Source organism: Homo sapiens, chromosome 19 (genome assembly GCF_000001405.40).
Source record: "Homo sapiens chromosome 19, GRCh38.p14 Primary Assembly".
NCBI classification, from domain to species: domain Eukaryota; kingdom Metazoa; phylum Chordata; class Mammalia; order Primates; family Hominidae; genus Homo; species Homo sapiens.
In genome coordinates this window covers 24134065-24157637 of record NC_000019.10, presented here as the reverse complement: position 1 = coordinate 24157637, position 23573 = coordinate 24134065, and the positions used below count along the sequence as shown (strand labels likewise).

General features: G+C 39.3%; 1 long non-coding RNA gene across 1 annotated transcript; it reads right to left on the bottom strand.

Annotated features, from left to right (window-relative positions):
• Positions 1 to 10556: 10556 nt before the first annotated feature.
• LINC03085 (long intergenic non-protein coding RNA 3085) lies at positions 10557 to 11163 on the bottom strand. The gene has a single exon (NR_186350.1). It is a non-coding gene; the product is annotated as a long intergenic non-protein coding RNA 3085 (long non-coding RNA).
• Between the last annotated feature and the right edge of the window lie 12410 nt (positions 11164 to 23573).

Below are 23573 nucleotides of genomic sequence, written 5' to 3'. Positions count from 1 at the left end.
GAGGCAGCCAGCTATTAGAACTCAAACTATTAAGTTTGTCTCCAGGGCTGTGCTCCTGACCCATGCCAGACTACCTACCATAGAGACATGATCCATTCACCAAACAAATACTAACTGAAAACCTCCTGTGTTCAGAGTCCTCCCTATTAGGCACATCAAGGGAAAAGATTGGCACACCAAGGAAAAAGTGTAAGTGTGCCAGGACAGGGGTCTGGTTTCCAGAATTAAATTACAGCTTACCTATTGAACAACACATTTTAGCTAATATTTGACCACATAAGTTAGACCTTCCCTTCTGTGATGGTCAGGAATGGTGTTTTGTAGAGTGAGGGGCTTGCAGAGGTCATATTAGTAGATGAACTGACTGATGAGGATTTCTGTGCCCTTAAAGAGGGGGAGTTCAAAAAGACACTAAAGCAGAAAGCTGGCAGACTGAGACCCAGTGGGAAAGTAGAGTGAAACCCTGAACAAATCCTGCTGAGGATGAAATGTTTACCATGTTCTCATTGAAAAGGATAGCATGTGGAAGAGAGGTGGTTTTTCACATGGTGGGAGATATTCTAGAAGTGAAAAAGGGTGGGCATGGACTCTATGATTCTGCTAGTCCTCTGTGTGGTGATTAATGGGGGGCTTTCTTATCTCTTGAAACCTTCCTTGTGGACACCCACTTTTAACCTCACTGAAAGTGCTGAGCCCTGTTCAAAGACTCATATGAAGCCTATTTTTGAAGAGATTTTGAAACTAAACTCATAACTGTTTGGGAAATTAAGTTGTGCTTTGGGCAGGGTCAATGCCTTAAGAACAGCTCTACTGTTGTTTCATAACAGGTTACTGTTATTTTACATAATATGGAAACTCAAGGTTTTGCCTCAGAATTTGCATAGAGTGATCCTAAGAGGTCCATAATATGTGATATGAGCCAAGTAAGGGCAAAAATTGAATTGACTTGATTACTAATCGAATCTAAAAACTTGAAGATCAGGCCGGGCACAGTGGCTCACGTCTGTAATCCCAGCACTTTGGGAGGCTGAGGCAGGTGGATCACGAGGTCAGGAGATCGAGACCATCCTGGCTAACACGGTGAAACCTGGTCTCTACTAAAAATACTAAAAAATTAGCCAGGCGTTATGGCAGGCGCCTGTAGTCCCAGCTACTCGGGAGGCTAAGGCAGGAGAATTGGCGTGGGCGAACCTTGCAGTGAGCCAAGATCCCACCACTGCACTCCAGCCTGGGCAACAGAGCGAGATTCCATCTTAAAAAAAAACAACAAAAAAAAAAACACTTGTCCAAGTTCAAGTGTCATACCCTCTGGGAGGTATTATTTCTTTGTTGTTTTGCTTTTTAAGAAGGAGGAGCCACATGTACTGGAGGACAGTGAGAGGAAGACCTTCTGTCTCCTTTGAGTGTGTGTGAGATGGGGTCACCAGTGTGCCTAGTTTCTTTTATGAGGGTGGCTGAGCAAGTTATGAAATTGGCAGGTCTTGCATTGTGAAAGACACTTGAGGGTCTGTTTCCTGTTTCTTCCAATTTGTGGATAAGGAATATTTTGAAACCAGTAATAAATACAGAATTGAAGTTATGCATGCTACCAGCTCAATTTTAACTGACTTATCTTCTGTATTTGCTACTAGTATTATTATTATCATTGTTATTTTTCTCATGACATTGGAGAGTTTCAGCAAAACAATAGTGGAAAGTAATCTGGATTAGTAAATCAGCATTCTGGCTCCTTTCTTGTCTCATCTGTTGAAGATCACTATCAGCAAGCTTCCATTGGGAACCATTTCTTGACACCTACACCTGATACCAGGCTCTAGAACTGCAAAGATGGATATAATATGGTTCCAGTTCTAAAATTCATCAGTGCCTTACAACCAGCAAGAACAAGTGGAGAACTGGCAAGTGAGAAGTTGCAGTAGAGAGTAAAGGTGATACTCACAAATGTGCACGTTTTCCATGTGGAGAAGAAGAATGTGGGAAAAGAAAAATGTACATCTAGGCAAAAAAGCAGTTTAAGTACAGGACATGAAGTATAAAAATATGAGGCTTATTTAAGGACAGGGTAGGACAAGAAGTGGAGTTTGACAAAAGAATATACTTTGGGAGTGTCGTATAGATTTGGGATGTTAAGAGATGTTGGCCTTAGAAACATGGATGGGGGCTCAGCTTTGCAGGCTGTTATGAACCACCAAATGTTTTGGAGCAGGGCTGCAATGTGAGCAGCTCTGTGTTTCACAGAGAATACTGCTAACCTTTTAGAAAGTTTAAGCTTGAAAAAATACAAGGTGTTCAGCAAAGTGCAGTGCAAACTTGGAATTTGGTACCCTCTTTGATAGAATACATTTTCTCTTTTTAAAAAGAGACTTTTTACCCCAGAATGTATAGGCTGCCTTCTTACACATGGTTAAATAAAAATGGAAAGGTGAGAACATTTATTTTCCCCAAATCAAATTTAATTAGACAGTGTTTAAACTTCCCTAATTGTGTATTACTAATTGGTACATATTTAAACTAAGAGTAGACATCTTTAGAAGGGAGGAACTCCTTTTCTATCAAAAGCATTGAAGATGGACTCTGGGAGCTGAATGAAGATACATGTAAAATAATTTTAGACAACTTATTACTATAATGTGGATAGCAAAAGCTTATATAAATCAGTAAAAAGTTAAATAATTTAATAGCAAAATAAGCAGAAGCCATGACTAGGCAATTCAAAAAGTAGTACACTAAACATATATAAAAACAAGTTACCTAATAGTTACTAAAATTCATATTAAAATAATGAGATGTCACCAAGCGCGGTGGCTCATACCTGTAATCCCAGTACTTTGGGAGGCCAAGGTCAGGAATTTGAGACTACCCTGGCCAAAATGATGTAAACCTGTCTCTACTAGAAATACAAAAATTGGCCAGGCGTGGTGGCACACACCTATAATCACAGCTACTAGGGATGCTGAGACAGGAGAATTGCTTGAGCCCGGGAGACAGAGGTTTCAGTGAGCCAAGATCATGCCACTGCACTCCAGCCTGGCCAACAGAGCGAGACTCTATCTCAAAAATAAATAAATAAATAAATAAATAAATAAATAAATAAATAAATAATGAGATGCCATTTTTTCACATACCAAAATGGAAAATATTTTTTAAAACAGCATATTCCATTAAACTATTCATAAATAGTTAGTGTAGGGTAACAAGACCTTTCCTAACACTGTTACTGGAAGTATAATTTGATGTCATATTCATATATGGCAGTTTTTGCACTGTGCATCAGTGGTCTTTAAAATGTGCTATATTTTGCCATGCGTGGTGTCTCCCGCCTGCAATCCCAGCACTTTGGGAGGTCAAGTCAGGTGGATTACAAGGTCAGGAGATCAAGACCATCCTGGCTAACACGATGAAACCCTGTCTCTACTAAAAATAGAAAACATTAGCCGGACGTGGCGGCACACGCCTGTACTCCCAGCTACTCAGGAGGCCGAGACAGTAGAATCGCTTGAACCAGGGAGGTGGAGGTTGCAGTAAGCTGAGATCACGTCACTGCACTCCAGCCTGGGTGACAGAGTGAGACTCCGTCTCAAAAAAAAAAAGTGCTATATTTATTAATAAAGCAATTTTAACTAATAAATTAATGAGTTTTAACATACTGAAGTGGCATCACCTGTGTGGGGTAAAGACCCGAGGTTCGTCATCTAATGCCAAGGAAATCAGTGCATGGACACACAAGAAGATGGTTTAGGAGCAGTGGTTTAATAGGCAAAAGAAAGAGAAAGGAGAATAGTCTTCTCTTCTGAGAAAGAGCAGTGCCTCTCAGTGGGACTTCCAGCCTGCAGTGAAGCGCAATGGATTTTACACACTGGCTTCAGGAGCAGGTGGCTGGTTTACATAGGGCCCAAACATTGGTTGGATCAGGTTTGAAAGTTTACACAGCTGAGGCGGGCAGCTGAGAAGGCCAAATAGGAAGAGCTCTGGACTACAGCTCCCAGCATGAGTGACGCAGAAGACAGGTGATTTCTGCATTTCCATCTGAGGTACTGAGTTCACCTCACTAGAGAGTGCCAGACAGTGGGCGCAGGACAGTGGGTTCAGCACACCATGTGCGAGCTGAAGCAGGGTGAGGCATTGCCTCACTCAGGAAGCACAAGGGGTCAGGGACTTCCCTTTCCAAGTCAAAGAAAGGGGTGACAGATGGCACCTGGAAAGTCGGGTCACTCCCACTCTAATACTGTGCTTTTCCAACAGGCTTAAAAATGTCACACCAGCAGATTATATCCTGCACCTGGCTCGGAGGGTCCTACGCCCATGGAGCCTCGCTGATTGCTAGCACAGCAGTCTGAGATCAAACTGCAAGGTGGCAGCGAGGCTGGGGGAGGGGCGCCTGCCATTGCCCAGGCTTGCTTAGGTAAACAAAGCAGATGGGAAGCTCCAACTGGGTGGAGCCCACCAAAGCTCAAGGAGGCCTGCCTGCCTCTGTAGACTCCACCTCTAGGGGCAGGGCACAGACAAACAAAAAGACAGCAGTAACTTCTGCAGACTTAAATATCCCTGTCTGACAGCTTTGAAGAGAGCAGTGGTTCTCCCAGCACACAGCTGGAGATCTGAGAACAGGCAGACTGCCTCCTCAAGTGGGTTCCTGACCCCTGAACCCCAAGCAGCCTAACTGGGAGGCACCCCCCAGTAGGGGCAGACTGACACCTCACACAGCCGGGTACTCCTCTGAGACAAAATTTCCAGAAGAACGATCAGACAGTAGCATTCGCGGTTCACAAAAATCAGCTGTTCTGCAGCCATCGCTGCTGATACCCAGGCAAAAAGGGTCTGGAGTGAACCTCTAGAAAACTCCAACAGATCTGCAGCTGAGGGTCCTGCCTGTTAGAAGGAAAACTAACAAGCAGAAAGGACATACACACCAAAAACCCATATGTACAACACCATCATCAAAGACCAAAAGAAGATAAAACCACAAAGATGCAGAAAAAACAGAGCAGAAAAACTGGAAACTCTAAAAAGCAGAGGGCCTCTCCTCCTCCAAAGGAACGCAGTTCCTCACCAGCAATGAAACAAAGCTGGACAGAGAATGACTTTCAGGAGTTGAGAGAAGAAGGCTTCAGATGATCAAACTACTCTCAGCTACAGGAGGAAATTCAAACCAAAGGCAAAGAAGTTAAAAACTTTGAAAAAAATTTAGACGAATGTACAACTAGAATAACCAATACAGAGAACTGCTTAAAGGAGCTGATGCAGCTGAAAGCCAAGGCTCCAGAACTACGTGAAGAATGCAGAAGCCTCAGGAACCAATGCAATCAACTGGAAGAAAGGGTATCAGTGATGGAAGATGAAATGAATGAAATGAAGCGAGAAGGGAAGTTTAGAGAAAAAAGAATAAAAAGAAATGAAAAAAGCCTCCAAGAAATATGGGACTATGTGAAAAGGCCAAATCTACGTCTGATTGGTGTACCTGAAAGTGACGGGGAGAATGGAACCAAGTTGGAAAACACTCTGCAGGATATTATCCAGGAGAACTTCCCCAATCAAGTAAGGCAGGCCAACATTCAGATTCAGGAAATACAGAGAACGCCACAAAGATACTCCTCAAAAAGAGCAACTCCAAGACACATAATTGTCAGATTCACCAAAATTGAAATGAAGGAAAAAATGTTAAGGACAGCCAGAGAGAAAGGTCAGATTAGCCACAAAGGGAAGCCCATCAGACTAACAGCGGACCTGTCAGCAGAAACTCTACAAGCCAGAAGAGAGTGGGAGCCAATATTCAACATTCTTAAAGAAAAGAATTTTCAACCCAGAATTTCATATCCACCCAAACTAAGCTTCATAAGTGAAGGAGAAATAAAACACTTTACAGACAAGCAAATGCTGAGAGATTTTGTCACCACCAGGCCTGCCCTAAAAGAGCTCCTGAAGGAAGCACTAAACATGGAAAGGAAAAACCGGTATCAGCCACTGCAAAATCACACCAAATTGTAAAGACTGTCGAAGCTACAAAGACACTGCATCAACTAACGAGCAAAATAACCAGCTAACATCATAATGACAGGATCAAATTCACACATAAAAATATTAATTTTAAATGTAAACGGACTAAATGCTCCAATTAAAAGACAGAGACTGGCAAATTGGATAAAGAGTCAAGACCCATCAGTGTGCTGTATTCAGGAAACCCATCTCATGTGCAGAGACACACATAGGCTCAAAATAAAAGGATGGAGGAAGATCTACCAAGCAAATGGAAAACAAAAAAAGGCAGGGGTTGCAATCCTAGTCTCTGATAAAACAGACTTTAAACCAACAAAGAACAAAAGAGACAAAGAAGGCCATTACATAATGTTAAAGGGATCAATTCAACAAGAAGAGCTAACTATCCTAAATATATATGCACCCAATACAGGAGCACCCAGACTCATAAAACAAGTCCAGAGAGACCTACAAAGAGACTTTGACTCCCACACTATAATAATGGGAGACGTTAACACCCCATTGTCAACATTAGACAGATCAACGAGACAGAAAGTTAACAAGGATACCCAGGAATTGAACTCAGCTCTGCACCAAGTGGATCTAATAGACATCTACGGAACTCTCCACCCCAAATCAACAGAATATACATTTTTTTCAGCACCACACCACACCTATCCCAAAATTGGCCACATAGTTGGAAGTAAAGCTCTCCTCAGCAAATGTAAAAGAACAGAAATTATAACAAACTGTCTCTCAGACCACAGTGCAATCAAACTAGAACTCAGGATCAAGAAACTCACTCAAAACCACTCAACTACATGGAAACCGAACAACCTGCTCCTGAATGACTACTGGGGACATAACGAAATGAAGGCAGAAATAAAGAAGTTCTTTGAAACCAACGAGAACAAAGACACAACATACCAGAATCTCTGGGACACATTCAAAGCAGTGTGTAGAGGGAAATTTATATCACTAAATGCCCACAAGAGAAAGCAAGAAATAACAAAAATTGACGGCCTAATATCACAATTGAAAGAACTAGAAAAGCAAGAGCAAACACATTCAAAAGCTAGCAGAAGGCAAGAAATAACTAAAATCAGAGCAGAACTGAAGGAAATAGAGACACAAGAAACCCTTCAGAAAAATTAAAGAATCCAGGAGCTGGTTTTTTGAAAGCATCAACAAAATTGATAGACCGCTAGCAAGACTAATAAAGAAAAGAGAGAAGAATCAAACAGATGCAATAAAAAATGATAAAGGGGATATCAACACCGATTCCACAGAAATACAAACTACCATCAGAGAATACTAAAAACACCTCTATGCAAATAAACTAGAAATCTAGAAGAAATGGATAAATGTAGAAGAAAATCTAGAAGAAATGGATAAATTCCTCGACACATACACCCTCCCAAGACTAAACCAGGAAGAAGTTGAATCTCTGGATAGACCAATAACAGGCTCCGAAATTGTGGCAATAATCAACAGCTTACCAACAAAAAGAGTCCAGGACCACATGGATTCACAGCCGAATTCTACCAGAGGTACAAGGAAGAACTGGTACCATTCCTTCTGAAACTATTCCAATCAATAGAAAAAGAGGGAATCCTCCCTAACTCATTTTATGAGGCCAGCATCATCCTGATACCAAAGCCGGGCAGAGACACAACCAAAAAAGAGAATTTTAGACAAATATTCTTGATGAACATCAATGCAAAAATCCTCAATAAAATACTGGCAAACCGAATCCAGCAGCGCATCAAAAAGCTTATCCACCATGATCAAGTGGGCTTCATCCCTGGGATGCAAGGCTGGCTCAATATACACAAATCAATAAATGTAATCCAGCATATAAACAGAACCAAAGACAAAAACCACATGATTATCTCAATAGCTGCAGAAAAGGCCTTTGACAAAATTCAACAAAACTTCATGCTAAAAACTCTCAATAAATTAGGTATTGATGTGACGTATCTCAAAATAATAAGAGCTATCTATGACAAACCCACAGCCAATATCATACTGAATGGGCAAAAACTGGAAGCATTCCCTTTGAAAACTGGCACAAGACAGGGATGCACTCTCTCAACACCCCTATTCAACATAGTGTTGGAAGTTCTGGCCAGGGCAATTAGGCAGGAGAAGGAAATAAAGGGTATTCAATTAGGAAAAGAGGAAGTCAAATTGTCCCTGTTTGCAGATGACATGATTGTATACCTAGAAAACCCCATTGTCTCAGCCCAAAATCTCCTTAAGCTGATAAGCAACTTCAGCAATGTCTCAGGATACAAAATCAATGTACAAAAATCACAAGCATTCTTATACACCAACAACAGACAGAGAGCCAAATCATGCATGAACTCCCATTCACAATTGCTTCAAAGAGAATAAAATACCTAGGAATCCAACTTACAAGGGACGTGAAGGACCTCTTCAAGGAGAACTACAAACCACTGCTCAATGAAATAAAGGAGGATACAAAAAAGGGAAGAACATTCCATGCTCATGGATACGAAGAATCAATATCATGAAAATGGCCATACTGCCCAAGGTAATTTATAGATTCAATGCCAACCCCATCAAGCTACCAATGACTTTCTTCAGAGAATTGGAAAAAACTACTTTAAAGTTCACATGGAACCAAAAAAGAGGCCACATCGCCAACTCAATCCTAAGCCAAAAGAACAAAGCTGGAGGCATCATGCTACCTGACTTCATACTATACTACAAGGCTACAGTAACCAAAACAGCATGGTACTGGTACCAAAACAGAGATATAGATCAATGGAACAGAACAGAGCCCTCAGAAATAATGCCGCATAGCTACAACTATCTGATCTTTGGCAAACCTGAGAAAAATAAGCAATGGGGAAAGGATTCCCTGTTTAATAAATGGTGCTGGGAAAACTGGCTAGCCATATGTAGAAAGCTGAAACTGGATCCCTTCCTTACACCTTATAGAAAATTAATTGAAAATGGATTAACAATTTAAACGTTAGACCTAAAACCATAAAAACCCTAGAAGAAAACCTAGGCATTACCATTCAGGACATAGGCATGGGCAAGGACTTCATGTCTAAAACACCAAAAGCAATGGCAATAAAAGCCAAAATTGAGAAATGGGATCTAATTAAACTAAAGAGCTTCTGCACAGCTAAAGAAATTACCATCAGAGTCAACAGGCAACCTACAAAATGGGAGAAAATTTTCGCAACCTACTCATCTGACAAAGGGCTAATATACAGAATCTACAATGAACTCAAACAAATTTACCAGAAAACAACAACCCCATCAAAAAGTGGGCAAAGGATGTGAACAGACACTTCTCAAAACAAGACATTTATGCAGCCAAAAGACACATGAAAAAATGCTCACCATCACTGGCCATCAAAGAAATGCAAATCAAAACCACAGTGAGATACCATCTCACACCAGTTAGAATGGCGATCATTAAAAAGTCAGGAAAGAACAGGTGCTGGAGAGGATGTGGAGAAATAGGAACACTTTTACACTGTTGGTGGGACTGTCAACTAGTTCAACCATTGTGGAAGTCAGTGTGGCGATTCCTCAGGGATCTAGAACTAGAAATACCATTTGACCCAGCCATCCCATTACTGGGTAGATACCCAAAGGACTATAAATCATGCTCCTATAAAGACACATGCACACGTATGTTTATTGCAGCACTATTCACAATAGCAACGACTTGGAACCAGCCCAAATGTCCAACAGTGATAGACTGGATTAAGAAAATGTGGCACATATACACCATGGAATACTATGCAGCCATCAAAAATGATGAGTTCATGTCCTTTGTAGGGACACGGATGAAATTGGAAATCATCATTCTCAGTAAACTATCGTAAGGACAAAAAACCAAACACCACATGTTCTCATTCATAGGTGGAAATCGAACAATGAGAACACATGGACACAAGAAGGGGAACATCAAACTCTGGGGACTGTTGTGGCTTGGGGGAGGGGGAAGGGATAGCATTAGGAGATATACCTAATGCTAAATAACGAGTTAATGGGTGCAGCACACCAGCATGGCACATGTATACATATGTAACTAACCTGCACATTGTGCACATGTACCCTAAACGTTAATGTATAATAATAAAATAAAATAAAATAAAGAAAGTTTACACAGCACACAAGGAATCTGGCTGCTCCACCCTAATCTTCTATTATGCAAATGGAGCATTTGCCAGCACCCTGTTGCCTGCTTCTTACTGTACATGTGGTTAACAAGGAAATGGGAAGAGGGTGTCACCATTTTAAACATGCGCCGTCCGCAGTTAGTCCCTTTTCCTATTGGCACAGCTGCCGACATTTATTCATGCAAGCTTTCAGCTTGCTTATCGATGTTTGGAGCTTGATTTTACAGGCTGTTCTTTGTTAAAAAAGAAATAATTTGTGGGCTGCTTTTTATTAAAAGGAAAGCTTTACGAAGGACTTTCTTGCCCTCACTCACTATCTGCCTAAATAATTTCTTTTTAACTCCTGTATCAATAATAATGTCATGGGAAACATTTATGATGTATTTGTATGTATGAATAAGCAAGATAGCAAACTCTAGTTGTTCTTTTTAATTTATTTTTACAAAAGTGTTGTGTACAAATGTAATTTAGTTACATGCATAGACTGCATAGTGGCGAAGTCAGGGCTTTTAGGGTATCCATCATTCAAATAATTTACATTATAACCCTTAAGTAATTTCTCATTATCCAGCACCCACCCTACCTTCTCACCCTTTTACTTCAGGTTTGCTGGGCCTCAATGACAAATAAAACAAAGATAAATTAATTGTTTTCTGGGAGTTAGAATTAAAAATCAACCTAAGAGAAAAGATGACTCCTAAGCCAAAATTTGTGATATATATATATATATATATGTGTGTGTATATATACACACACACACAGAAACATGTTTCTGTGTGTGTGTGTGTGTGTGTATATATTTGTTTATACTCAAGAAACTTATCCAGTCTTTCCCTCTGCACAAATCCAAAATTAAAGCCAAATGGTTCTATGTGATAAACATCATGGTAATAACTTCAAAAAACAAAAAAAAAAGCTTCCTCCAGTGAATGTAAATTTAAAAAAATGAAACAACTGTTTCTCCAGATGTGCAGAAATCAATATAAAGACACATAAAGACAGAGAAAACACAGAAAAGCAAGGTTTATGACACTTTCAAAGGAACACAATAATTCTCCAGTATTCCAAGAAAAAAAAAATAATTGAAAGGACTTTAAAAGACTTTTAGAAGGCTTCAAAATATAGATTTTAAAGAAGCTCAAAGAGATGCAAAAGAAATCTAAAAACCAATACAAAAATAAATAAATAAATTTAGAGTATGAATGGGAAATGTGCCAAGGAGATAAATATCTTTTAAAAGAAACCAAAACAAAATTATGGAACTGAAAGATTTACTGAAGGAAAAAGAAAATACATTCAATGATCCAATAGTAGACTGAAAAGGCATAAACAGAATTTTCAGACCTTTAAATGGGTCTTTTAAAATAATCTACTCAGACAAAACTAAGAAGAATTTTAAAAAACGAACGAAAACTTTGAGATGTTTCTGACTACATAAAGTGACTAAACATAAAAATTATCAGTGTTTCTTAGAAAGAAAAAAACATGAAAAAGTTTAGAAAACCTATTTAAGAAAATAAATGATGAAAAATTTCCAAGTCTAGCAATAGAATTAGACATACATATACAGGAAGCTCAGCAATCACCAGTAAAATAAATTGCAAAACAGACTTCATCATGGCACATGATAACCAGAATTTCTAAAGTCGAAATGAAATAACTAATTATAAAATCAGCAAAAGAAAAGCATCTAGTCATTTATAAAGAAAACCACATCAGACTAAAAGCACACTTCTCAACAGAAACTTTACTGGCCAGAAGATAATGGAATGGCACTTAGAGAGTGTTGAAATAAAAGTGCCAGCCAAAAATTTTACATCAAGGTAAATTAACCTTCACAAATGAAGAAGAAATAGTCTTACCCTGACAAATAAATGCTGGGGAAACTAATTACCACTAGACTGGGTCTATAAAAGATGTCAGGGATTTCTTTTTTTTTTTTTTTTTTTTTTTTCTGAGACAGTTTTGCTCTTGTTGCCCAGGCTGGAGTGCAATGGCACAATCTCGGCTCACTGCAACCTCTGCCTTCCAGGTTCAAGTGATTCTCCTGCCTCAGCCTCCCAAGTAGCTGAAAGTACAGGCACCCGCCACCTCACCCAGCTAATTTTTGAATTTTTAGTAGAGACGGAGTTTCACCATGTTGGCCAGGCTAGTCTCAAACTCCTGACCTCAGGTGATCAACCCACCTCAGTCTCCCAAAGTGCTGAGATTTCAGGCATGAGCCATTGTGCCAGGCCGGTACTTCTAATAGAAAAACAAAAGATTGATATTCACCATCATTAAAACATACAAAAGTATAAAACTAACAGGTCTTATAAAACAAAAGACAAAAAGAAATAAATCAAATCACAACATGACAGAATTTTATTAAACCAGAAAGATAGATGAAAAAAAAAACAAAATAATTAACATTATGATAGTAACAAAACCTACATGTTAATATTAATATTAACCATGGCCGGGTGAGGTGGCTCATACCTTTTGGAGGCCAAAGAGGGTGGATCACCTGAGATCAGGAGTTTGAGACCAGCCTGGCCAACACTGTGAAAACCCATCGCTACTAAAAATACAAAAAATTAGCTGGGCACGGTGGTGGGCACTTGTAATCACCGCTACTCAATAGGCTGAGGCAGGAGAATCACTTGAACTTGGGAGGCAGAGGTGGCAGTGAGCCGAGATCGCACCATTGCACTCCAACCTGAGCAACAAGAATGAGACTCCATCTCAAAAAATAAAAAGAAAAAGAAAGAAAAAATTAACCTTGAATATAAATTAATTAAATCCTTCATCAAAATGTATAGATTTATGATATGAATAAGAAAAAATCGTCCAACTCTATGGTGCCTACAAGAATCTCACCTTACTTGTAAGACACATATAGATTAAAAATAAGGGAGGAAAGATATCAACAGAAACAGAAACCAAAAGCAAACAGGAGTATCTGTATGTATATCAAATAAAACACTTTAAATAAAAAGTGCAACAAAAAGGGTAAAGAAGGTAATCATCCAATAATAAAGAAATCTTTTCAGCAAAAAGATATAACAATTCTAAATATCTATGCACCCAACATCAAAGCACCCAGATTTTAAATAGAAATATTATTAAACCTATAGAAAGAGATAGTAACACAATGATAGTGGAGAAATTCAACATTCTACTCACAGCATCAGAGAGACCATTGAGATAGGAAATTGGCAAATCAACAAAGTACCCCCATAAATCACAATTATATCAACTACCTACTTAGATCACAGGAGAATAAAACTACAAATCAATATCAAGAGAAATTTCAGAAACTATAAATTTACAAAGAATTTAAACAACATACTCCTGAACAGTCACGGTGTAAATGAAGTAATTAAGATGGCCGGCCAGGGGTGGTGGCTCACAGCTGCAATCCCAGCACTTTGGGAGGCTGAGGCAGGTGGATCCCCTGAGGTCAGGAGTTTGAGACTAGCCTGGGCAACATGGCAAACCCCATCTCTACAAAAAATACATATTAAAAAAGCTAAATGTGGTGGTGCACACCTATAGTCTTAGCCACTCGGGAGGCTGAAATAAAAAGATCGCTTTAGCCTGGAAGGCAGAGGTTGCAGTGAGCCAAGATTGTGCTACTACACTCCAGCCTGGGTGACAGAGTAAAACCCATCTCAAAAAGAAAATTAAAATGAAAATTTAAAAATTGTGGGAAAAAAGATGGAAATAGAAATGCAATATAATAAAACCTGTGAGATATGCAAATATAGTACAAAGAGAGCAGTTTATAGCCTAAATGCCTGCATCAAAAAAGTAGAAAGCTTACATATTAAGGACTTGACATCACACTTCAAGGAACTAGAAAATTAATAACAAACCAAATTCCAAGTTACAAGAAAAAAAAAAACAAAAATCAGAACAGAACCAAATGAATTTAAGACCAAAAACAATAAAAATGATCAACAGAATAGTTGATTTTTCAAAAAGACAAAATTGATAAACTGCTAGCTAGCTTAACCAAAAGCAGAAGACAGATCTAAATAAACAATCAGAAGTGAAAGAACAGACATTTCAATGGATACAACAGTAACACAAACCAATAATGAGTAGCATGATTGAGGCAGTAATAAAAAAAGTCTTGAAAAAGAAAAGCTCGGGAGTAGATAAATGGACAGCCAAATTCTACCAAATGCACTAAGAATAATAATCCTCCTGAAACTCTTCCCAAAAATTCAGGATAATGAAATTCTTCCTAAGTCACTCTGAGGTATCACCTTGACACCAAAACTAGTCAAGAACACAACAAAAAAAACTATTATTATGTTATTATTATAAAAAATAGATAAATGGGATTCAAACTAAAATGTTTAGGCACAGCAAGAAAAATAATCAACAGGGTAAATAGGCAACCTACAGAATAAAAGAACATATTTGCGAACTATGTGCCAACATGTAACTAATATTCAGAATTTACAAATAATTCAAACAACTCAAAAATGTCATAATAATAAAAAAAGGATTCCATTGAAAATAGGCAAATAACATTACTAAGCATTTTTCAATAAAGAATACAAATAGCCAACATGCATATGAAAAAAAAAAACTCAATCTCAACTAAAAATAGAGCTACCATTTGATTCAGAGATCTCATCATTGGGTATCTACCCAAAGAAAAATCATTTATTATATGAAAATGATATCTGGGCCAGGTGCGGTGGTTCACGCCTGTAATCCCAGCACTTTGGGAGGCCAACGTGGGCGGATCATGAGCTCAGGAGATCGAGACCACCCTGGCCAACACGGTGAAACCCCATCTCTACTAAAAATACAAAACATTAGCCGGGCATGGTGGCGGGCGTCTGTAGTCCCAGCTACTCGGGAGGCTGAGGCAAGAGAATGGTGTGAACCTGGGAGTTGGAGCCTGCAGCGAGCCAAGATCGAGCCACTGCACTCCAGCCTGGGCGACAGAACAAGACTCCGACTCAAAAAAAAAAAAAAAATGCTACCTATACTTGCATGTTTACTGCAGCATGCTCACAATAGCAAACAATATATACAAGAAAAGTTTAATATTAAAAATATATAGGAAATTCAAAGTAGAGGCAAGTATAATAAAAACAATTACAATCCACCTGAAAAATGGTCAAAAGACTGAAAAAATATTTTGCCAACATATACAAATAACCAATAGATATATAAAAACGTGTTCAATATCACCTACCAACAGGCAATTGCAAATGAAAACAATGAGGAACTACCATTTCAAATCTGTTAGGATTGCTAATATCAAAATGAAAAAATAGAAAAATAACAAGTAACATCTGTCATTAATGTTCCTAAGATTTCTGAAACAAATCTTAATATCACCACTGCTCTCACACATTTCAGACATGATGGGAAAAGAAAACTTAAGAAATAATCTTATATGCAGCTGCTCAAAAATAATCAAGAGGCGTTCTTATATCCCCCCAAAGCAATGGAACAACAGGAATAACATGTGATACCTCATAAGCCATAAAGAGGACCTTAGCTCTCACAAGACCCTCAAAGGAAAATCACTAAGTAGGAAGTGGAGCCCTTAGAGAATTTAAGGGTATGGAACAAAAGATGCTCCTATTTGAGAGCTAGAAAAAAAAATGACTTTCTAGGAAATATTTCCATTGAAGCAGAGCAACACATACCACATTTTAAGGTCTGGAATTCTTTGACCTTTGTACCTCTTGTCTTTGTTATCTGCCTCATTCATGCTTAGCTATCTGAGTATTTGACTACTGTCTCATATCTCTTCACATTCCAGGGCTCTTTTATTTGCTTAAAGCAGGAGATCAGATCAATGTTAGAGACATCAAGGCCTGTTTTGTTAGAAAAAAAAGTAATATGACTTGCTGGGATTCTCCAGTTACCAACCTAGTACTCTGTTCAGTAGAGAGGAGAGAATATTATGAAGGATTCTAGAATTTTAATTCCAAAATACTGTTTTCTGACAGAACCTTTAGAATATTTAGGTTAAAATATTTAATATGTATTTTAGTTTTCTGGATCCTTAGCTCTACTGTTCAATACTATTGAATTTAAAATTGGTGATGAATATTGGATTTTAATACTTGGGGAAAATACTTTATGCCACTGAATTTCTAGAATTATCATTAATCTAGAGTGAAAGATACAGTTTAGCTCAAGAAAGGGGAAGTTTCCTGTTAAGATATAACATCTTGAAAATTTTCTTTTCTATTCCAATAACTTCAAGTTTTCCTTAATTTTATTGATCTAAAAATAATTTATGCATAGCAAAAATTCCCAAAATCATTCTACAAAGGGATAAAATAGAAGCTTTAAGGTATATTAGGAAATCTGGGGAAAAATTACTCTCACCTAAAGAAAGCAGGTTTCTGTAGTTCTCTAACACCGCATCTCTATATAAATTTCACTGAGCAGGATTCAGACACACCCACTACTCCTGAGAGAATTCTATGGCCACAGCCTTGAATATTAACATCTTCTAAAAAACCCCAAACACCCACACATATTTAGAAAGTGGCCATAGGCAGAATGGTTAATTTTACTCTAGGTGTTTGAGAGTTAAGAGAACTGGCTCTGTTTTACATGAGACTGAAATTATCCAGTAAAATATTATTTAATAGAGAAAGCTTCTCTAATGTATTCCATCATTCTGAGGAAAGAGAATAAGATCCACAAAACCAGTGTAGGTACTATACTTTTCTGATGATACAGCATAAAATGTATGGCACAAACACAAGCATATACAGTTTTGAGTGCTATATTTACATTATACAGAGTAAACTGTGTATAGTTCCCATATGGAGAAGTCACAGGACATTAGAAATTACCTCTCAAATTTTAATGCATACATCAATAAACTGGAGATTTTGTTAAAATATGTATTCTAACTCAACAGATCTGGGATGAGACCTGAGTTACTGCATTGCTAACAAACTGACCAATGATGTCAATGATTCTAGCTTAAGGAAAATACTTTTTAAAACATATAGTAAGTGACTGAACCTGGGTTTTATCCCACTGTATATGACCAGTAAAAAAAAGATGACACACTTCATTTTCCAAAGCAACGTATAAACAAAGATAAACTATTAAGAAAAGGAATGTAAGAAAAATGGATGTGCTGTGGTCAAGAATAGGCCGAGGTAAACATCTGGTTCAGCATGACTCAGTGAGTTTGGAGCACACATGCACAATTCTACTCATTATGTAACCTGGTTGTGTAAGATCATACTTGGCTCTCAGCCACTATTATGTGTTAGGAGTACACAGAAAGGTGGACAGGAGAGGGAGAGAGAGTAAAGCTGCTGACCCTGTACACAGGGCTCATGACCAGGCTTGTGACCATAGAGAGAATAAAGCCATGCCAAAACTCCCCACCAATCCTCGATTGTTTTTCCAGCAACCCACCACTCACCCACCGACTCCCGTCAGACCTCAGCTTGGACTGGAACCTGATACTTGGTGTAACAGGGGAGATTTCAGATTAAATGTGTTTATTCACATTAATCAGAAAGTCTCTCCAAAGTAATTGTGAATAATACAGTTTTTATAAAGTAACTTTAGAGTGAAGAAATCCTGGCTGGGAGTGGTGGCTCACACCTGTAATGCCTGCACATTGGGAGGCCAAGGCAGAGGGATCATGATGTCAAAAGTTCAAGACCAGCCTGGCCAACATGGTGAACCCCATCTTTACTAAAAATACAATAATTAGCTGAGCGTGGTGTCTCATGCCTGTAATCCCAGCTACTCAGGAGGCTGAGGCAGGAGAACCACTTGAACCCAGGAGGCAGAGGTTGCAGTGAGCTGAGACCGTGCCATTGCACTCCAGCTCTGGATGACAGAGCAAGACTCCATCTCGGGGAAGGGGGAAGAAGTCTTTCAGAAAACACATTAACCAAGTGAATAAAATTAATGGGACAGATTGGTATTATGTGCTGATACATATAGGATGATGCAACATGACTTCGGTGAAATTACTGGCCAAAAAATGTAAATCAGAATCAGAATCTAATTATGAAAAACATGTTTTATGTAAAGTTCAAGCCACATGTTGCCCATGTTTTGTAATTTCTAATAGTGTATTTAAATACTCTCTGTAGCATTCTAGAAGTCACATTTCTTTGAATTACTTCCTTTGCATATCTTTCTAATTATTCCAGGCTACCCATTCTTTTTCTTTTTTGGGGGGGGGATGGAGTCTACTCTGTCACACAGGCTGGTGTGTAATGGCACAATCTTGGCTCAAGGCAACTTCTGCCTCCTGGGTTCAAGTAATTCTCCTGCCTGTCTCCCAAGTAGCTAGGACTACAGGTACACACCACCTTGCCCAGCTAATTTTGTGTGTGTGTGTGTGTGTGTGTGTGTGTGTGTTTTTAACTGGAAAATGTTTTCCAGATTTATTGCTTGTGTGTGTGTTTTTAGTAGATACAGGGTTTCACCATGCTGCTCAAGCTGGTCTTGAACTCCTGACATCATGATCCACCCACTTTGGCCACCCAAAGTGCTGGGATTACAAGTGTGAGCCACCGTGCCCAGCCTAATTCTATCCTTTTGTTTTGTTTTGAGATAGAGTCTTGCTCTGTCACCAGGCTGGATTGCAGTGGCGTGATCTCATCTTCTCATCTCACTGCAACCTCTTTCAGTTTCAAGTGATTCTCCTGCCTCAGTCTTTTGAGTAGCTGGAGTTACAGGTACATGCCAACAAGCCCAGCTAATTTTTTATTTTTAGCAGAAATGGGGTTTCACCATGTTGGCCAGGATGGTCTCGATCTCCTGACCTCGTGATCCACCCGCCTCGGCCTCCCAAACTGCTAGGATCACAGGCATGAGCCACCACACCTGGCCAATTCCATCCTTTTTAAGTGTGCATTTAAAAATTATATTCTTCATAGAGCTGATGGAGCATTCAGATGGAACCTAAACAGTGCACTTTTCTCCCTCACTGATATCTGAGGACCCAGCACCATCCCCAATAAGAATGTTTTATATTCCCACCTGCCCAGGCTGACCTGTCAACATAGGGAATACTTCCAATATTTCAGCATATAAACTCAAGATGAGTATTATTTGTGATATGTAAGAAGCCTGGATGGAGAGAATAAAGACAAGTCTCTGATATATAGGGGAGAATTATTTTAAAGAAGTCCTTTCACTGTCATGAGAAGAAAAGGGGAAAGGTAGTTGAAATAATCTTCTTAGGCAAAAGCATCAGAAGTAGAAATGTAAATGACTGCAATTCTAAACACATGACATTCTAAAAGAAAATGTGGACACTGTTTTTACCTGGGACACACTTATCTGAGAATCTTGAGAATGTGTCTTTAAAGGCATCAGGACAGACCCTCTGAAGGAAGCAGACTGCTACTGCAGGACCCTGGAGACACTCCAAATACTGTGAGTGCCCCAAATGCAGAAGTGAGAAAGGGAGACCCTCCTCTCCCAAACACGCACCCCCACTGGAGAAGCTGAAAGTCTGTTTGTGGGATAATTTCCTGACTACCTGGAGCTGCATCAAATTAGAGCCAAGCTGAGTGAAATACAGGGGTGGAGCAGGCAGCAGGGAGGCCCTGGGGGCTTGATAAATCCCCAAGCAGCCCATTCCTGCCTGGCACCACAGGGATCCTTCAGGAGGGAGGACAGAGGAGCAGAGGTAAAATTCCAAGTGGAAAAAGACTTCCTTAGCTGAACTTTGTAACAATTTGAACGGGCCAAGAAGCCTCCTGCCCAGAACTCAGGGAAAGGCGCGAATCTGGCTTGCAGACTTCACAGGCGGGGAAGAACTAAAGCCCTTTTTTTTCCTGCAACTGGAAGGCAGAAAGCCTTGAGCAATTTTCAAGCCCAACTAGCCTTCCATCTGGAAACAGACTTGGGGTTGTTGTGGAGTACACAGTGGGAGTGAGAATGGCCCTCTGGTTTGCATGGGAGCTGAGTGAGGCCTGTGACTACTCGCTTTCCCCCACTTCCTTGACACTCTGTGTGGCTCAGCAGAGACAGCTATAATTCTCCTAGGTACACAACTCCAGTGACCTGGGACTCTCACCTGCATCCCCTACACCAACCACAGCAAGACCTGCCCAAGGAGAGTCTGAACTCAGACACGACCAGTGCCCCCTGCACCCAATGGTCCTTCCCTATCTGCCCTGGTAGGGGAAGACAAAGGACATATAATGTTGGGAGTCCTAAGGCCCCACCCACCACCAGTCCCTCTGCACACTACTACAGCTGATGCTTTCTAGAAGTGCTACCTACTGGCAGGAGGCCCACTAGCAAAAATAAATACATACATAAAGCATTAAACCATCAAAACTAAGGACTCCCACAGAGGCCACTGCACCCTTCACCACCTCCACTGGAACAGGCACTGGTATCCATGGCTGAGAGATCCACAGTCGATTTACATCACAGGACTCTGTGCAGACAACCCCAAGTATCAGCCTGGAGCAGGGAAGACTCACTGGGTGGCTAGACCCAGAAGAGAGACACCAATCACTACAGTTCAGCTCATGGAAAGCCACATCCACAGAAAAAGGGAATACCCTGTGGGTCAAAAAATCTAAACAGTTTTCAGCCATAGACCTTCCCTCTGACAAAGCCTACCCAAATGAGAAGGAACAGAAAAGCAAACCTGGTAATATGACAAAACAACGTTCATCAACACCCCCCAAAAAAATTACACTAGTTCACCAGCAACAGAACCAAACCAAGAAGAAATCCCTGATTTATCTGAAAAAAAAGGAGTCAGGAGGTTAGTTATTAAGCTAATCAGGGAGAGATGGGAGAAAGGCAAAGCCCAACACAAGGAAATACAAAAAATCACACAAGAAGTGAAGGGCAAAATATTCAATGAAACAGATAGCTTAAAAAAAAAATTCAGGAAACATTGGACACACTTTTAGAAATGTGAAATGATCAGGAAATTCTCAGCAATAAAAATTAACAAGTAGAAGAAGAAATTCTGAGCTCAAAGACAAGGTATTTGAATTAACCCAATCCAACGAAGACAAAACAGAATAAGAAAATATAAACAAAGCCTCCAGGAAGTCTGGAATTATGTTAAATGACCAAACCTAAGAATAATTGGTGTTCCTGAGGAAGAAAACAATTCTAAAAGCTTGGAAAACATATTTGAGGGAATAATCAAGTAAAACTTCTCTGGCCTTACCTAGACATACAAATATAAGAAGCACGAAGAACACCTGGGAAATTCATAGCAAAAAGATCTTCACCTTAGCACATTGTGATCAGGTTATCCAAAGTTAAGACAAAAAAATCTTAAGAGCTGTGAGACAGAAGAACCAGGTAACCTATAAAGGAACACCTATCAGATTAACAGCAGATTTCTCAGCAGAAACCTTACAAGTTAGAAGGGATTGGGGCCCCACCTACAGCCTCCTCAAACAAAACAATTATCAGTCAAGAATTTTGCATCCAGTGAAACTAAGCATTATATATAAGGAAAGATACAGTCATTTTCAGACAAACAAATGCTGAGAGAATTCACCATTAACAAGCCCCTAATACAAAAATGCCAAAAGAAACCTTAAATCATAAAACAAATCCTGAAAACACAACCAAACAGAATCTCTTTACAGCATAAATCAAACAGGATTTATAAAACACAAATACAAGATAAAAAACAAAAATGAAAAACCAAAAAAAAAGGCCAGGTGTGGTGGCTCATGCCTGTAATCTCAGCACTTTGGGAGGCCAAGGCGGGCAGATCACAAGGTCAGGAGTTCAAGACCAGCCTGGCCAATATGGTGCATCCCCGTCTCTACTAAATACACAAAAATTAGCCACGCGTGGTGGTGGGCACCTCTACTCCCAGCTACCTGGGAGGCTGAGGCAGGGGAATCGCTTGAACCTGGGAGGGGGAGGTTGCAGTGAACCAAGATGGCGCCACTGCACTCCAGCCTGGGTGACAGAGTGAGATTCCATCTCAAAAACAAACAAACAAACAAAAAACAGAAAAAAAAAAACACAAAACAAAAAAAACACCAAAGTATGCAGGCAACAAAGAGCATAATGAATGCAATGGCACCTCACATTTCAATAGTAACATTGAATGTAAATGGCCTAAATGCTCCACTAAAAGATACAGAACTGCAGAATGGATAAGAACTAACCAATCAACTATCTGCTATCTTCAGGAGACTCACCTAACACATAAGGACTCACATAAACTTAAAGTAAAGGGGTGGAAAAAGGCGTTTCATGCAAATGGACACCAAAAACAAGCAGGGGCAGCTATTCTTATATCAGACAAAACAAACTTTAAAGCAACGGTGGTTAAAAGAGACAAAGAGGGACATTATATAACAGTAAATGGCTGGTCCAACAGGAAAACATCCCAACCCTAAAGATATATCCACCTAATACTGGAGGACCCAAATTTATAAAAACAATTGCTAATAGACCTAAGAAATGAGATAGACAGCAACACTATAATAGTGGGGAACTTCAACTCCACTGACAGCACTAGACAGGCCATCAAGACAGAAAGTCGACAAAGAAAGAGTGGATTTAAACCATACCTTGGAAAAAAATGGACTTAACAGATATATACAAAACATTTCATTCAACAACTGCAGAACACACATTCTCCTCAACAGCACATGGAACTTTCTCCAAGACAGATCATATGATAGGTCATAATACGAGCCTCAAAACATTTAAGAAAACTGAAACTATATCAAGCACTCTCTCAGACCACAGTGGAATAAAACTGGACATCAACTCCCAAAGAAAACTTCAAAGCCACGCAAATATATGGAAATTAAATAAGCTGCTCCTGAATAACCATTGGGGCAAAAACCAAATCAATATGAAAATTAAAAAATTCTTCAAACAGAATGACAATAATGACACAACCTATCAAAACCTCTGGCATACAGCTAAGGTGGTGCTAACAGGAAAGTTCATAGCCCTAAATGCCTACATCAAAAAGTCTGAAAGAGTACAAACAGAAAATCTAAGGACACACCACAAGAAACTAGAGAAACAAGAACAAACCAAACCCAAACCCAGCAAAAAAAGAAAATAACCAAGATCAGAGCAGAACTAACTGAAACAAAAAAAATACAAAAGGTAAATGAAACAAAAAGCTGCTTCTTTGAAAATATAAATAAAATTTATAGACCATTAGCAAGATTAACCAAGAAAAGAGAGAAAATCCAAATAACCTCACTGAGAAATGAAACAGGAAATATTATAACTGACACCACTGAAATACAAAAAAATCATTCAAGGCTACTATGAACACCTTTACACACATAAACTAGAAAACCTAGAAGAGAAGAATAAATTCCTGTAAAAATACAACCCTCCTAGCTTAAATCAGGAAGAATTAGATACCCTGAACAGACCAATAACAAGCAGTGAGATTAAAATGGTAATTCAAAAAATTACCAATAAAATGTCCAGGACCAGACG